Source organism: Homo sapiens, chromosome 10 (assembly GCF_000001405.40).
Source record: "Homo sapiens chromosome 10, GRCh38.p14 Primary Assembly".
NCBI classification, from domain to species: Eukaryota; Metazoa; Chordata; class Mammalia; order Primates; family Hominidae; genus Homo; species Homo sapiens.
The window spans coordinates 110,645,709-110,661,523 of NC_000010.11; the positions used below are offsets into that span (position 1 = coordinate 110,645,709).

Here is a 15,815-nt window from a genome sequence, read left to right on the forward strand (position 1 = left end):
CTAATAGAAAGAATTGTGAAAATTCAAGTTTAACATTAGAAAACGCTGGTATCATATTTCAGAACAAAATGGTTCCCTATGTTGACTGGTGGAATACTGAGTCTCCACTTGTGACAACTTTTTGCTTTAATTGGATATTTTATATAACTTTCAACTACAAACAGTTTCCAACTATTCCAAAATGAAAATATTTCATATTATTCTTTTCTATTGTTTTGCAAATTATTCAGCCAATACTAAATATGATTGACAATTTATGTACATCAATACTTAAAATTTCTCTTTATTCCTTAATATAAATGTAAAGCAACAGAGAAAAACTATTTAAAATTTAAAGTTTACTTAGTGAAAAATCCAATTTGGCCAATTATTAATTTGGAAACATCTGATGTGCTTCGTACGGAGCCAGTGTCTTGCGGCTTGAAATCAGGCTGCATATGAAGTTAATTGAAATTGCTTCGGTATTGTAATTACCCTGCACTTTTCTATTACTTACTTTTAAGTAGAAGAAAACTGGGAACTTTATATTCACAGAAAAGTCTTTGTAGAAGGGCGTCTGATTATGAAATACTGCCAGGTTGAAAATAAATATCATTTTATGGAAATGGATCATTTAAAGTATATTTTATTTGCCTCACATAATAAATAATTTACCCTCTAAATTCATCCCCCATTTTGAAAATCCCATCTTTGGAATATCTAATTTTAAAAGAAAAGACTCAGCTTTTCAAAGATGGCCCCTTCTACTTGAAGGGCAGGATGGAGACCTCAAGAAGCGCCTCATGGCTTTGCTTGCTTTACATTGGTGACGGATCAGTGTTCAGGGACCAGGTCCCAGGGCTGTGAATGTGCCCATAGGATTTGATGTTTGCGCACTGACGTTTCAGTCTTTCTTTACAAGGATGATTTGGAGCTTGTGCTCTCCTTAGTACCCACTGAAATTCCGCTGGAACCAGATATAATGTCGCAAACGCTTTGTAGGTCCATCTTCAATGCGCCGAAATTTGAGCAGGTTATTTTGAAACTGCATTTGCATAAGTCCATCTGAGCAAACATTTTTATGGAGTTATGAGGTGTGGTTTGCATCAGCCATCTTTGAGAAAATATAGTGGAGCTACTGTGCTCGGCTGCAAAACAAGTTGTCTGCCTGTTGATTTGGGGAATTTTGTGAGCTACAGCTTTGGATGAAATTCTCCTCTGGTGGAACACATATTAAATATTATTAGAGAACCTCTATTTTTTCTAGTTATTTTAGTGAGGTCGTTATGTAACTGGTAAGAGGAGAAGTTTTGATTGCTTTCAAAATGATGGCGACATCAATCTTCTTCATGTTGCATAGTGCGTTTGAAGATTACAAACATTTTTCCACTTACTGTCTATGTTTACTGATTTTTATTAGTAATGGCTTTTATTTTAGATCAAAGTCAATGACTTTGGAAAAACCATAGTAACAATTATAATAAAAATCAGTTCCTGTTCACGTTATATTTGGTGTTTAGAGAACTGCCGTATACTACATTTACAAAGATAAACACATGAAGCGTGATGACTAATAATGAGACTGATTTTGTTTGTTTTATGGACCCAGTCTTAGTACTTATGAAGATTGCATCTAGAGTTAATTTCTCTGGAGTACAATGATTTCATTTCCTTGTCATTGTATTTTTAGCTTCCATTAAGAATCATCCATACCTTTTCTGCTCTTGTTTACTGTAAAGATTATCAGCCATGTATAGACACAGATAATTAATATTTTATAAGATTTTTATTTTAAATATGCATTCTCCAAATTGGCTAATATAGAGGCATTATTGTATATAAAACACGATTTAGGCTATTTAGGAAACAAGAAATATAAATAATACCCTAAGAGGAGATTTGGGATAAGTTAGGAAATCAGAATAATTTGAGAACTTAACAAATATATATTTTTTCCATACTAGCAGAAATAAGAAAACATTGACATTCTGGTGAATGTTTTATAAGGATTTATCTCCTCCAACATTTACAATGTTTTATTTTTAAAATTATTTTGTTTTAATCGTGAGCTTTAAAGTCAAACCTAATCCTTTATTTATAAGAAGTTATTTATTAACCTTGATGAACGTCAGAAATTTAAGTTTTAGGTTGCCAGTTTTAAAGCACTCATTAGAATGAAAACAGAGCCACTCAATTCCGTGTGAAATGTTGAAGTTAGCTGTCAGATGGAACCACGAAGTATACCACTAGCCATGGAGGAAAGAAACCAAACACGTGCACCCCTCTTATGAAGTGAATGTAGAGGTGATTTTCCTAACTTATTTGATTTGCAGCAAAATATTCCTGGGTAATGCGTGGCATCAGGTTGCATATTTAATTTGAGTATAGATGACACTTTTTTCTGTATTATTTTTTAAGCAGTGAATAAAAATAATTATAAACAATAGAAAAAGTTTTGGTTTAGCATTTGATGGCTAGTGTTACCTGCGTGTAAATGCTTGTAGTTAATGAAAACATGAATCCAGCTTTGATCTCTTTGATCTATAGTCTTCCGTATAGCATTAGAACACTGGCTGTCTATATTTTCAGAGCAAAGTGCTCCCCTCACTCGGAATAGAAAATGTTGTAAGTAGCAACTCCGATTTACAGACTCTAATTTTACAGACATTCTGCAGAAGGATCTCCGTGTAACTGTTAGGGAGTCATTCGCAGGCAAGTTGTGTATGATGTTCACCCACTTTGATGGGTATGCTGACAATTACATCCAGAGTCAGAGAGAAGAAATAAGAATTTGCTAAAAAGGGACATTCCCTTTCATTCATACTTGGTCCTTTCTGGAAAGAGGATGGAATTTCTAACATCTGTGCCAGTTAACATCAGTTTGAGCCCAATTTTAGGGGAAATAGGAATACACTTGTAGAAGGAATTTTGAAAATTTTAAATACCATCTTAAACTGCACATAAGACAAGCATTCAGCAGGGAAAACATCTGAGAGGATTAAGCCTTTACCCCAACAGGGAAGAAAAGGGGGGGGTGCTATTTTCTTAGCAGCCTGAATGATTCTTTTGCTTATCTAGAAAGCTTTCCAAAGTTTTATCAGAAAAAGAAATTTTGCTTGAGGGTTTGTTGTGATAAGTATTTTTAGATAGTATGTATAATCATTTAGTTGTGAATTTTTCTCAAATTGCCAAAGAGATCAGTATTATGAAATGTAGTACATTATTCCCATTAGTCACAGTAAAGGACTATGCATATGGTGCACACAGAGCTGTTCTAATGCCAGTGCTGTAGGGGGGAAAAGAAGAAGAAGAAGAATTTGATCACCCTTTTTATTTTTCTATCCATGTATTCTTTTGCTACCTCCTTCGCAGTTTATCTAATTAATAATTTAAAAAGCCCAAATCTGTCCATTGGAATGTGAACTCTGATCTGTTAAGATCTCTTTGCCAGTCCTAATAGTCACCAGGGGGCAGAAAAAAACCAACCAGGATTGACTCACAGTGAAATGATTCCACATTATCCAGTTTCTTTCTTTCCTTCTGATTTATTTATTTATTTATATATTTATTTATTTATTTTTGTGGCTTTAAGTTCTTGACTCCAGTTTAAACTAATATTCTTCCCCGCCCACAACAGCCGGTCCTCAAGTGAACAAATTGATATAGCTCAATTCACAGGTTTGATAAACAAGAATACACAAAATGTTGGGAACTGGGGTTTAATCAAGGGATAGAAATTAAAATGGACTGAACTAAATATGGAAAGTAAGAATTGAGGAAGCTTGAGATACTGGAGTTAAAACCCAAAAGAGAAGTTCAGAAGTAGGACACCCCTCTCCCTTCATCTGTCCTGGTCTCCCTGCCAGACAAAAGCTTGAATGGTCTCCTACACCACAAAATCCTACTTAATCTGATTTTTATTTCCTGCCACAGTGATTATTTAATTGGGGATGGTCTAAATGATATTATTTGGTATATTTTAACAGGGAAAATTGCTGTGGATCTGCAGCTAGTGTGAGTGACTGGTAGCTGCGTTTAGAGTGTTGAAAAGTTTTGCATTAAGTAAAATGATCCATATTACAGAATCATGGCAAAGATGGTAATTAGTGGTTTGCAGAAAGGAGCACACGGCAGTTCCCTTTCTGTTTAAAGAACCTGGCTGGATCTTGAGAATATGCGTGTTATCCTGGATGCCTAATACTGCATGTTCCCACCAGTGAGTAGACTGGCAGATTCTGATCCTAATTAAGAAGACATGTTTTTGAATCAGGAATGTGAATTTGGTTTGCAACACCACCACGGGGGTATTGTTGGTGAGCTGATAGTTTGACTGGCTCCATGGGTGGTCACTGTTTAAATTCCACCCAACTAAAGAGCTGTACAAGATTTTAGTCTTCAAAGTTTACACACAGCAAGTGTGGGGAGAAGTTATCACTGCCAGCTGTTGGGGGAGGAAGTGAAAGTGAGAAGGACCCCTCCCCCCAAATAACTTGTGTGTGTTTTGGATATGTTGCATATATCCATTTAATATGATAAACTCTTTACCGCGGTGGAAGTTACAGTCAAGTTGATTGATCTTCCTCTTCCCCACAGCTCCTGATGGATTTTATAAGATAAGTAAGTCCCCTGATGGTTTCTAAGGCAACTTTTCCAACTTGCTGACAGCAGATCTGTAGGGGAGATGGCACATATTGGTGCTGATGTACTTTATGGGCAAAAAGGGAGCAGTTAAGCAACTTGCATGAGGATGTGTTCATAACTCACAGCTCAGTTGGACAAATCAATCTTTCCATGTGTTCAGAAACAAAAGGCAGGGGGGTCATGCATGTGTTTGGGAGTGGTTATCACCCCATGAAGATAGTTTCCACGCCAATTTTGCCTTCTTTAATGTGGTATTTGCTTTAAGGCTGTACCAGGGCCACTTGCTTCTGCCTTTTCTTTGCACCTGCTTTCTCTTGATCACACTAATGACCCATCAGTTCTCAGTTACCACTTCCCACTCTGACCCAAACCTGGAAACCTCCAATTGCTGCTGTCTGGACATCTTAAATACTTTTTGGTTTTGCAACTTGTCTGTGGACTCCTTCCCGAATATGTTTTTAAGTTTTGTTAGGCCTGCCCTTCAACCTGCCCTCCAGTGTCAGGAGTAGACTAGGTAATATATATTTTAAAGATGCATTGGTTTCACTAAATCTCCTCCTTTGGTTTATTTTGAATTAATTATTGAACAGAATGATTTAAGATCAGTCTGATATTTTCAGGTGTAAAATGAGCATCTTTGCTCTAAGTTAATTACTGGGCTTCTGTCGAGGAGTGCCACAGAGGAAAAAACTCTGGACTGGGAGTCAGTGACCTGGACAAGCCAATTAACCTTTCTAATCTAGCCTCTCCAGGGATTGGAAATGATCAATTGCAGTTTCTTCCAAGAATAAAATTAGGTGGCTCTTGTGCAAATCTTAGCAAAATTGTGGAGTGATACCCAATGTAGAATGCCTCCCTCCATCTACTTCCTCCATCACCTGATACGGAATATGTCCCACATCAATTAAATTTAGCCATGGACACAGGTACATATTTGTGACACTGATCACCCATGAATACAACAATAACCACAAAAAGAGAATGAAATACTTTCTCTAGCATTCACAAAGAATATTTGGATCAGTGACATAATTTTAAAAGTCAGAAAAATAAACACTAATGTCAGTGAACAGGAAAAGGTTTTATACTGTTCTTCAATCTCTAAAAATGTTTTTGGTATAAGAATAATTTTTTGGAATGTTAAAGTAAGTACTTTAACATTTACTTTAACAAACTGAAAGTAGCACTTTCAGCTTGGGAGACAGAGATAATAATTTTCATGTGTCTGAATTGGATTGTGTTAAACACAGGCCAACAGGAGTGTGTTTGGTGACATCGATGGTTTCAGAGTCAGAGAATGTAAACATAGGACCCACAAACGTTTTACAGGAGCACGGCTGTGGCTACTGCAGGGACTCCTGAACCGTGACGCACAGTCAGTTGGCCGCAGAGACCAGCCTGGAGCTCGCCCTAAAACCTCTTTGCAGCCTTGCAGATGTCATAGTTGTCCCAAAGCTGGGCCTCATGCTTCCGTGTAGCCTCACTGAATCAGGAGACCGAGTGTTTCCAGAGCCAGGATGTGGGCGCTGTGGGGCCAGTGCTGCATCCTCCTGCGCTGGCAATAGCAGAGTTGTGGAGAAACTTTATTTGGTATTTGAAATGATCAATATTTTAACCTTCTGCATAAAAAGAGAGAGAAGTCTGTGATTAAATCTTGATTTAAAGTCTTCAAATATGTACATACATGAGGATGAACATAAGCATATTTATTTCAACACTGTCTAGAAAAGTGAAAATTAGAAACCACTTAAATGTTTCTCAGTTGGAAACATAAACCATGTGTAGGTATAAGGTCATGTACTACTCAGCCATTAGAATGATGCTGCTATTTTGCATTGATTGATATGGAAGGAGAACCATATAATATTAACTAAAAAAATTACAAACAGCATGTATGCAAAGATCTCATGTTTGTTTTTGAAAAGATGTGTATGAGTGTGTGCTGGTGCCTGCCAGCCTTAAAAAACATCTGAAGAACAAATGTAAAGAACATTAACAGTAGTTCTAACTCTGGGTGGGGCAATTAGACTGGTTTGTCTTTTTTTCTTCCTTTTTAATATGGTCTATTTTTTTAAAATTCAGTGAGCATGTATTACTTTTACAATAAAAGAAAACAATAAAACTATTTTTTTCTTTATCTATTTCTTTTCCTAACCGTCTGTACCTGCGAGTATTTCATTTTTAAAAACAGCAACAGAAGGAGTAGACATTTCACATTGGTATTGCACTGTCTTGAAGACTGAGCTGCCCTTTAGCATCTTACATTTTAGTCCTGGAAGGTAGCTGAGAGCTGTTTTAGCCCAGCCTTCCTGTTTTTCTAGGTAAGACAAATGAGCATCAGAGAAGTCAAGTGAATTGTTGAAGGTCACACAGCGAGGGAGTCATCAGGCTGTGATGAGAATCCCTGTATTTCTGTCTTATATTTTCTGCTAAGCCACCATTTTGTCATCCTGGGAATGGAGGAGAGAGAAATGGAGGCATTCATAAATTAACCGTGTATGTACCAGCCTTAGTCTACTCACTTCCCCTAAGAGGGTTGAGAAAAGCATCCTTGGTTGTGTTATCTCCTCTCACCCCATCCTGCTCACCCACCCACACGGGACTTTTATGGGAGTGGCAGTAGACTGGGTCTCTCCTGGGCATCTCATGCTCTGTTCCTTCCTGCCAAACAGAAGCCAACCATCACATTTTCTTCTCTGCTCTTCTTTGTTCAAGGTTACTCTTTTTCCCCAGATCCTTAATAGAGGAAAAACCCAGTACCTACCTTCCTTTCATACCCAGAAACGTCCTCTTAACACCTTCAAGCTGTGGTTTAAAGATGAACCTTTTGAGATGTAAAAGCATAACTAATATTTAAAGGAAACAAAACACATTTTACTTCTTACTCCCAAGCCAGTTATAGGAATGCCCATTATTATTTCTGCCACCCCAATTCCCACTCTGCTTCAAATTTGTTTCAACCAAGGATATAATTTGGACTGTATTTTTAAAAAGTAAACCTTGCTTTGCGGGGACTATATTTGCATTCTTGCTTGCCCTTGAGTGTGCTCTCTCTTGCTTTTTCTTTTCCTGAACTATTTGAAAGTAATTTGCATAACTATAATTTTGTTATCATAGCTCAGGAAATTAGTCTTATTTAATTTTTTTCTAATAAACACTAGGTTTTTAACTTTCATTTGTCAGATAATCTCTCATATAGCTGATTTTTTTTTTTTTGCATTTGTTTATAATGTCTTTCTCTTTTTTTGAGACAGGGTCTCACTCTGTCACTGAGGCTGGAGTACAGGGTGCAATCACAGCTCACTGCAGCCTTGACCTCCCTGGCTCAAGCAATCTCCCACCTCAACCTTCCAAGTAGCTGGTACTGTAGACGTGCACCACCACGCTCTCCTAATTTTTGTATTTTTTGTAGAGATGGGGTTTCACCATGTTGCCCAGGTTGGTCTCGAACTCCTGGACTTGAGCAATCCTCCTGCCTCAGCCTCCCAAAGTGCTGGGATTACAGGCATGAGCCACTGCACCAGCCATTTCTTCTTTTTAATCTACCAAGTATACCCACCTCTTTCTACTTTCCAATACTGAAGATTACAGGCTAGTTGTCTTGGAGAATGAACCATGATATGGCTGTGACTGTTGTTTCTTCATGACCAGATCCAGGTTAAACATTTTGGCAAAGATAGGCTAAGAGTTTGACCCCTTGTTTAACATGGCGGCCACCGGATTGCTCCATTGTAGACAGACATTTTTCTGTTTGTGATAAGTAGTAAGTTGTCTGCAGAGGTGCTACCATGAGACCCTCTGAATATCTATGTTCCAACAGACTTTCATCTGGTGGCTTTGTCTTTTAATTTGATTAAATATTTAAGGAGCAATTGTAATGAAATATGTGGATCACTTTAGAATGCATGAGTTTGGACACACAGTTTATATCAAACAGCCTTGCAAATATGTTTGCGTTGTATCACCCCATAGATATTATCTAGAGCCTCTGGATTTTTCTAGTCCTGACTTCATAGGACTTGATCCATGGGTCAGCTACTTCCCATTTAACTCTATAAGAGACATTCCATCTCTTGAGTTGCAGTGCTTTTAATGTCCATTTTAATGCTAATGGAAATAAGTGGATACTGATGTAATTTGTACTGCTCATCAGATTTTTTTGGGTATCCTCTTGAAGTTATGTTGGTTCTTTGCAGAAGCCTTTTAACTCTGTTTTCAAAATCACTGTATGAAGCAGGCTTTAAAAATGACTGATGACTTGCCCTGGTGCCTAAACTGGGTGAGTCTTGGGGCTGGTCAGTGACTAGCAGTTTGTTCATGTTTTTTAGATTTAAGTTACACAGCTATTTTTGCCTGTTCCACTTTGGTACTCCTATTTTCATACACAAAATATGTATGGGTGAAAAAGGTGGTGTGGAGTAGTGAAAAGGAGCAGGAGCAGGCATGATCTATGTTCTGGATTCAGCTTTGCCACTACTAACCCTGAGCATCAGTGTTCTTATCTGTTAAAGGAAGCAGTAATAATAAAGTGAATAACAACTAACTCGTACAGAGTGCTTTCTGTGTGCCAGCCACTATTCTAAACAGTTGAGGTATTTTCAATCCATTTACTTCAACAATAATCCTGTGAGGTAAGTGTTGTTATTCTCCCCATCATGCAGATGAGGAAACTGAGGCACAACCTTACTAGGACCCAGGAAAGCTAAGAAAAATAGTATTTATGAAAACATGGTGGAATGGGGCTTGGAATAAAGAATGTTATACTAATTCAAGCAATCCTGTCTTCTCTGTGTAAATATCTGTTTCCTTAATTTATAGAAAATCCATCACTTACAAGAAAATATTATAGAAAAAAATGACTAAAATAAATCTGAAAGTAGGTCAAATTTAAGACAAACTAAGCAATCCAATTAAAACTTTTTTTTCCTGTTTCCGTCCCCCACCCCCGCCCTTTTTTTTCCCCTTAAAACTTTAAGTACAGCTTTGGTTTAAAGTGAAATCTATATCCCAATTTAAATTCCATGAACAAATCTGACTCTGGCATTTGATTCACTGTCTTACTCTGCTTGTTATGCATGTTAAACAAGACCTAAATTTGATGCTCACAGAGAGCACATAAACACTTATAATCCTCTCAGCATGTGCTAAAATAATAACAGACACGATAGTTTGATTTGCAAAGTGTGTCTGCCAACTTCCACCAGACCATTTTTGAACCAATTCAGAAAACCAGGATTCTGCAATGATTAAAGTGTCCAAGGCTCCTATTCATAGCAAAAGGAATTCCTGACTTGAAACAAGTACACATGAAGCTCAGCTAGTCTCTGCCAGACATACTTTTTGAACCATCTTTGCAGACATTGTTACAAGTGTTCTTTTGCTTTAAGAAACCATGGTCTGTAACAACCAGACTGAACAGAATCCATAAACTGGGGAAGGATTGTGCCTTTTGATCTGCGACAGGGTTTACAGTAAAAATCCTTTAAACCATGAGTTTCTCAGTGTATTTCAAATAGCAATTCAATAATGCTAACAATTCAGAGGTCTAATAATAAAATTTAAAACTTTTTTTGGTCTTTTTTTTTTCAATTTTAAGAGGTATAATTGAAGTGTGGTAAGCTGCACATGTTTAAAGCATCCATCAGGATCCATTAAACCATTAAACAATTGAGATAATAATAAACATTGTTGGCTGGGTGTGGTGGCTCACGCCTATAATCCCAGCACTTTGGGAGGCCGAGGCACGTGGATCACCTGTGGTCAGGAGTTCGAGACCAGCCTGGCCAACATGGTGAAACTCCATCTTTACTAAAAATACAAAAAATTTGCCGGGCGTGGTGGTGGGCGCCTGAAATCCCAGCTACTCTGGAGGCTGAGGCAGGAGAATCGTTTGAACTCGGGAGGCAGAGGTTACAACAGTGAGCTGTGGAGATAGCGCCATTGCACTCCAGCCTGGGCAACAAGAGCAAAACTCCATCTCGAAAAAAAAAATTATCACCCCACAATGTTTCTTCATACTTCTTATAATTTATCTTTCCCTCTTCTCCTTATCCCCCTCACATTCAGGGAACCACTGATCTGCTTTCTTTGTTTGCGTTTCCTAGAATTTTATACAAATGAAATCCAAGTATGTACTCATGTGTGTGTGTGTGTGTGTGTCTTCTTTCACTATTTTAAAGTGCATAATTTAGTGACATCAAGTACGTTCACAGTGTTATGCAACCATCACCACTCTCCAGTACCAAAATGGTTGCATTGCCTCAAAAGGAAACTTCATACCTACTAAGCAGTTGCTTCCCATTCCCACCTCTCCCCAGTCCCTGGAAACCAATCTGCTTTCCATCCCTATGGATTTGCCTATTCGGGAGATTTCATATAAATGGGATCACATAATATGTGGCTTTTTGTGTCTGGCTTCTTTCACATGGCATCATGCTTTCAAGGTTCATCCATACTGTGTCATGTGTCAGCACTTCATGCCTTTTCACTGCCGAATAATACTCCATTGTATAGGTACCGAAAACGTTTTCTTTGTCCATTCATCTATTGATAGACATTTGGGTTTTTCCACCTTTTTACTATTGTGAATAGTGCTACTGTGAACATTTTTGTACAAGTTTTTGTTTGAACATCTGTTTTTGGTTCTTTTGGGTATATATCTTGGAGTGGAATTGGTGGGTCATATGGTAATTCTTTTTTTTTTTTTGAGATGGAATCTTGCTCTGGCACCCAGGCTGGAGTGCATTGGCGTGATCTCGATTCACTGCAACCTCTTCCTCCCGGGTTCAAGCGATTCTCCTGTCTCAGCCTCCCAAGTAGCTGGGACTACAGGCCCATGCCACCACGCCTGGCTAATTTTTGTATTTTTAGTAGAGATGGGATTTCACCATGTTAGCCAGGATCATCTCGATCTCCTGACCTCGTGATCCACCTGCCTTGACCTCCCAAGGTGCTGGGATTACAGGCATGAGCCACCATGCCCGGCCTGTTCTTTTTTTTTTTTAATGGCCATCCTAGTGGGTGTATGAAGTACTATCTCAATGTGGTTTTGATTTGTATTTCAGTAATGACTAATGATATTGAGCTTCTTTTCATGTTGGCTTGTTGGCCATTTGTATATCTTCTTTTGAGGAATGTCTACTCAAATCTATCATCCATTTTAAAACTGGGTTTTTTACATTCTTGTTTTGGAATGGTAAGAGTCTTTGAAAATTCTGGAGAGTAGGCCCTTATCAGGTGTATAATTTGCAAATATGTTCTCCTATTTTATGGGTTTGCTTAGCATAATGATTTTGAGGTTCATCTATGTTGTTTCTTGTATCAAAACTTTGGGCCTTTTACTTTGCTAAGTAGTATTCTGTTTTGTGGATATAGTGCAAACTCTTTATCCATCTGTTGATGGACATTTAGGTTGTTTCCAGGTTTTGGCTATTACAAATGAAGCTCGTATGAACATTCCTTTGCAAGTCTTTATCTGGACATATCTTTCAGCTTCTCTTGGGTAAATTTCTAGGCCAATGATATTTTAACCTTTTAGGATCACAAATATTGTACATAAGAATCATTGTTTGGGTGAAACGTCTTCAAATTTTTATTAGTATGTCATTGAATGGAGCATGTTAATGTAACCCTTTAAGGTGTTTAAAGAATATACACTTTTTCATCTTTGTTTTCAGAATCAATCACTCATTAGTTTTTTTTTCTTCTGTTGATGAATCTTCCTTCAATAGTTTTTCATTTGGCAAGTAATTATGACCATGGAAGTCGGGACACAAGATGAAAAAGACAACAAAACTGCAGAACTTCAAACTGAAAGAAACCCTAAAAATCACCTGAGTCAGCTCTTTTATTTTACAGAAAAGGTGATGAGGTCCAGAAAGGAGACTGGATTTACCAAAGGCCAGCCGAGTATTAGAGCAGTTCGGTGGAGCAGGGGAAACTTACACACCTGTGAGGGTAATTTGACGTCTCCTAGCCATGATGCAACAGTGCTGGGGGGTGAGTGAATGGCGCTGTGTTTTACAGTCTGTAGCATTCACAGGGCACTTTGTTTCCTTCTAGGTTATCCCAGTTAATCCTCCAACAACCCTGTGAAGTAGGTAGGGACTAAGTAACTAGGAGTAGCTCAGGGTCACCTAGCCAATGATCGGAGATCCCGGGCTCAGAGCCAGGCCTTCTGACTCCTTCCAAGTTGCGTGCCCTCCTCTTTTTCGTTTGAATTTCCTCCTCCTTGTCCCTGCCCACTGCCGTCCCCTTAGTTCAGGCCTCCCAGCTCTACCCCCGGCCTCCTGCTGGATTGGGCTCCACTCCTTCTTTCTCTGCAGCAGCACAGTCTTGACCTTGTCCTCTGCTTGCTGGAAGCCCTGCTGTGGCTTCTCCTGGCCTTTAGGTTAAGGTTCAGACTGCATGGAAGGCCTTTCCAGATCTGCCCCACTCAGCCCTCCAGCTCCAGAACTTCCTGTCCTCTCTTGGCTGCCCTCTTTCCCTCTCCTCAACTAGAACATTCTGAATTCTGCTTAGACCTCACCTCTTCCAGGGAGCTTTCCCCAACCCTAAGCAGGAAGGAGGGCTGAGTGACCCTCTTCCTGTAATTGTCTGTGGCTCCCATAGTAGCATTTGTCCGTGCTCTCCTCTTGCTTGTCTCCCATAAAGACCATGCAAAGTCCTTGCAGTCAAGGCCACTGCCACTCACCTTTGCTATCCTCATCACCTAGCAGAGCCCCTGGCACATAGTGTGTTGAATATCTGGGAATGAGGAACTTAACTGCAACTGAACTTTCAATCTAACTGACTTGGTGATGAGAAATACTAGTCAGGATGCTCTCATGGGTGAGACCTGATGTGACGCCAAAGCTTGGTTTTCTCCAGCTTATGTTTTATTTGGACTGCCTGTCTGAAAGGGCTAGACAGACATTTATGTTCAGAGAGGCCATATAAGAAGAATATAAATGCGGAAAGTCATAAACTTCAGCTCTGCTCTGGGCTCCACTCTCAAGCCACTGTGTGACCAGAGGTAGCACTTAGCTTCTTAGAGTCCACATGGGTTAAAGGGGGACCAGGGTATGGGGCTTGTTCAAACAGTCAATGAGATGACAGGTGAACATGCCTTGGTAGGAAAGCAGTACTGAATACATGTGTCCTCATGTAAGCCAGCTTTTTGTCTCATGCTGTCATCTCCAGCCAGAGGCCAGATTGTGTGCAGGCAATTTCCAGGCTGAATTTCTGAGAGATTTGATCCAAATAGGATAAATGGTGGAAATGACCACTAGGAACACTCCTTAAAACCTGCTTGCATCAATGCTTTCAATGATACATTTCTGCATCTCAAAAAAAAGTTTCTAAGCCCTAAGCTAGCATCTGCCTATTTCAAGCAATTTCTGTTCTTTTTTTTCTTTTCTTTTCTTTCCTTTCCTCTTCCTCTTCTTCTTCCTCTTCCTCTTCTTCCTCTTCCTCCTCCTCTTCCTCCCGTTCCCCTTCCCCTTCCTCTTCTTCCTCTTCCTCTTCCACTTCTTCTTCTTCTTCCTCTTCTTTTTTTTTTAATTTTTTTTTTGACAGGGCCTTACTCTCACCCAGACTAGAGTGCATACTGATCCTCCCACCTCAACCTCCCAAGGAGCTGGGGCTACAGGTGTGCACCACCATGCCTGGCTAATTTTTTTTGTATTTTTTTGTAGAGTCCGGTTTTCACCATGTTGCTCAGTCTGGTCTCAAACTTCTGGGCTCAAGCGATCATTCTGCCTCAGCCTCCTAATGTGCTGGGATTATAGGTGTGAGTGACCATGCTTGGCCTCAAGCAATTTCTAAAATAACACAAATCAAGACAACAGCAACACCAAGATACTGCTTTATTATTGCCTTGACATTTGCAATAATGACAGTTTAACTATAGCAGTAATAATGACAGTCGACTTGTGGCAGCTTAAAAAAAAAAGAAGCTGCCTGGAAAATAAGTGATTGCTCACGATTCCTCAGGGAGACTTACTCCAACCACCCTATTTAAATTGCATCTTGAACCCATCTCTTCCCATCCAGGCTGTCTTATTTTGCTTTATTTCTTCCACTTGTTGTCTTCTAGCATAAGGATCCCCAACCCCCAGGCCATGGACGGGTACCAGGCTGTGGCCTGTTAGGAACGAGGCCACACAGCAGGAGGTGAGCGGTGGGCGAGCAAGCGAAGCTTCATCTGTATTTACAGCTGCTCTCCATCACTCGCATTACTGCCTGAGCTCCGCCTCCTGTCAGATCAGTGGTGGCATTAGATTCTCATAGGAGGGCAAATCCTATTGTGAACTGCACATAGGAGGGATCTAGGTTGCATGCTCCTTATGAGAACCTAATGCCTGATGATCTGTCACTGTCTCCCATCACCCCGAGATAGGACCATCTAGTTGCAGGAAAATAAGCTCAGGGCTCCCACTGATTCTATATTATGGTGAGTTGTATAATTATTTCCTTATATATTACAATAAATAATAAAGTACACAATAAATGTGATATGCTGGAATCATCCCTAAACCATCCCTTGCCACCATAGTCCATGGAAAAATTGTCTTCCAAAAAACTGGTCCCTGGTGCCGAAAAGGTTGGGGACCGCTGTTCTGACAAATTATATAATTTACTCATTTATTATGTTCTTACTGTCTATTATGGCTCCTTTCACCCTGCCCCCACCACATAAGCTCTCCAATGGCAGGAGAGTTGTACTCAGTGATTTACCCCCCAGGGCCTAGGAGCAATTCCTGACACCTGGAAGATGCTCACTAAATATTTGTTGAATGACTAAGTGAACTATAGGTAAAAATACTGACTTTAGTGATTGTTATGTGGTGGCATTTGTTCCCTCTCTGAGCCCACCTAGGATATGAACTATATGGGCTTCAGGGTCTGAGTTTTGTGATTCAGGAAACTGAAAGTGGAAGGTGTTAGAAGATTGTAGCCTCTGCTCCTGTGGGGTTCTTGGAAGTAAGACTCTCCCTGGGCACCCGTGACTTGGTGCTCTTCTCATGGCCCAGCTCCAGCAGTTGCCAGTGTAGCCAGAACCCCTTAGGCTGGGATCTGACTTGTGTATTTGGTGGGATCTTGATGGTGGAGGGAGAGCAGCAGGCCTGGGCTCAGTCCCTAGACATAGAGGCCAAAAAAGATTGGAACAACCGTGTGTCCAGCAATAGGGGATTCGTGAATAACACTTGGCTACA

At 39.6% G+C, this 15,815-nt stretch overlaps 1 protein-coding gene across 2 annotated transcripts in view, besides 2 other annotated features; it reads left to right on the forward strand.

Annotated features, from left to right (window-relative positions):
* The window catches only part of RBM20 (RNA binding motif protein 20), a 196,224-nt gene that overhangs the window by 2,464 nt on the left and 177,945 nt on the right, over positions 1-15,815 (forward strand). The window lies entirely within an intron of this gene.
* Positions 5,525-6,026: an enhancer, noted in NCBI's record as "H3K4me1 hESC enhancer chr10:112410991-112411492 (GRCh37/hg19 assembly coordinates)". NCBI's record gives its function as "activates a minimal SCP1, AML or CMV promoter by ChIP-STARR-seq in naive H9 embryonic stem cells {active_cell/tissue: H9 hESC(naive)}" and the evidence as "EXISTENCE:reporter gene assay evidence [ECO:0000049][PMID:30033119]".
* Positions 6,027-6,526: an enhancer, noted in NCBI's record as "H3K4me1 hESC enhancer chr10:112411493-112411992 (GRCh37/hg19 assembly coordinates)". NCBI's record gives its function as "activates a minimal SCP1, AML or CMV promoter by ChIP-STARR-seq in naive H9 embryonic stem cells {active_cell/tissue: H9 hESC(naive)}" and the evidence as "EXISTENCE:reporter gene assay evidence [ECO:0000049][PMID:30033119]".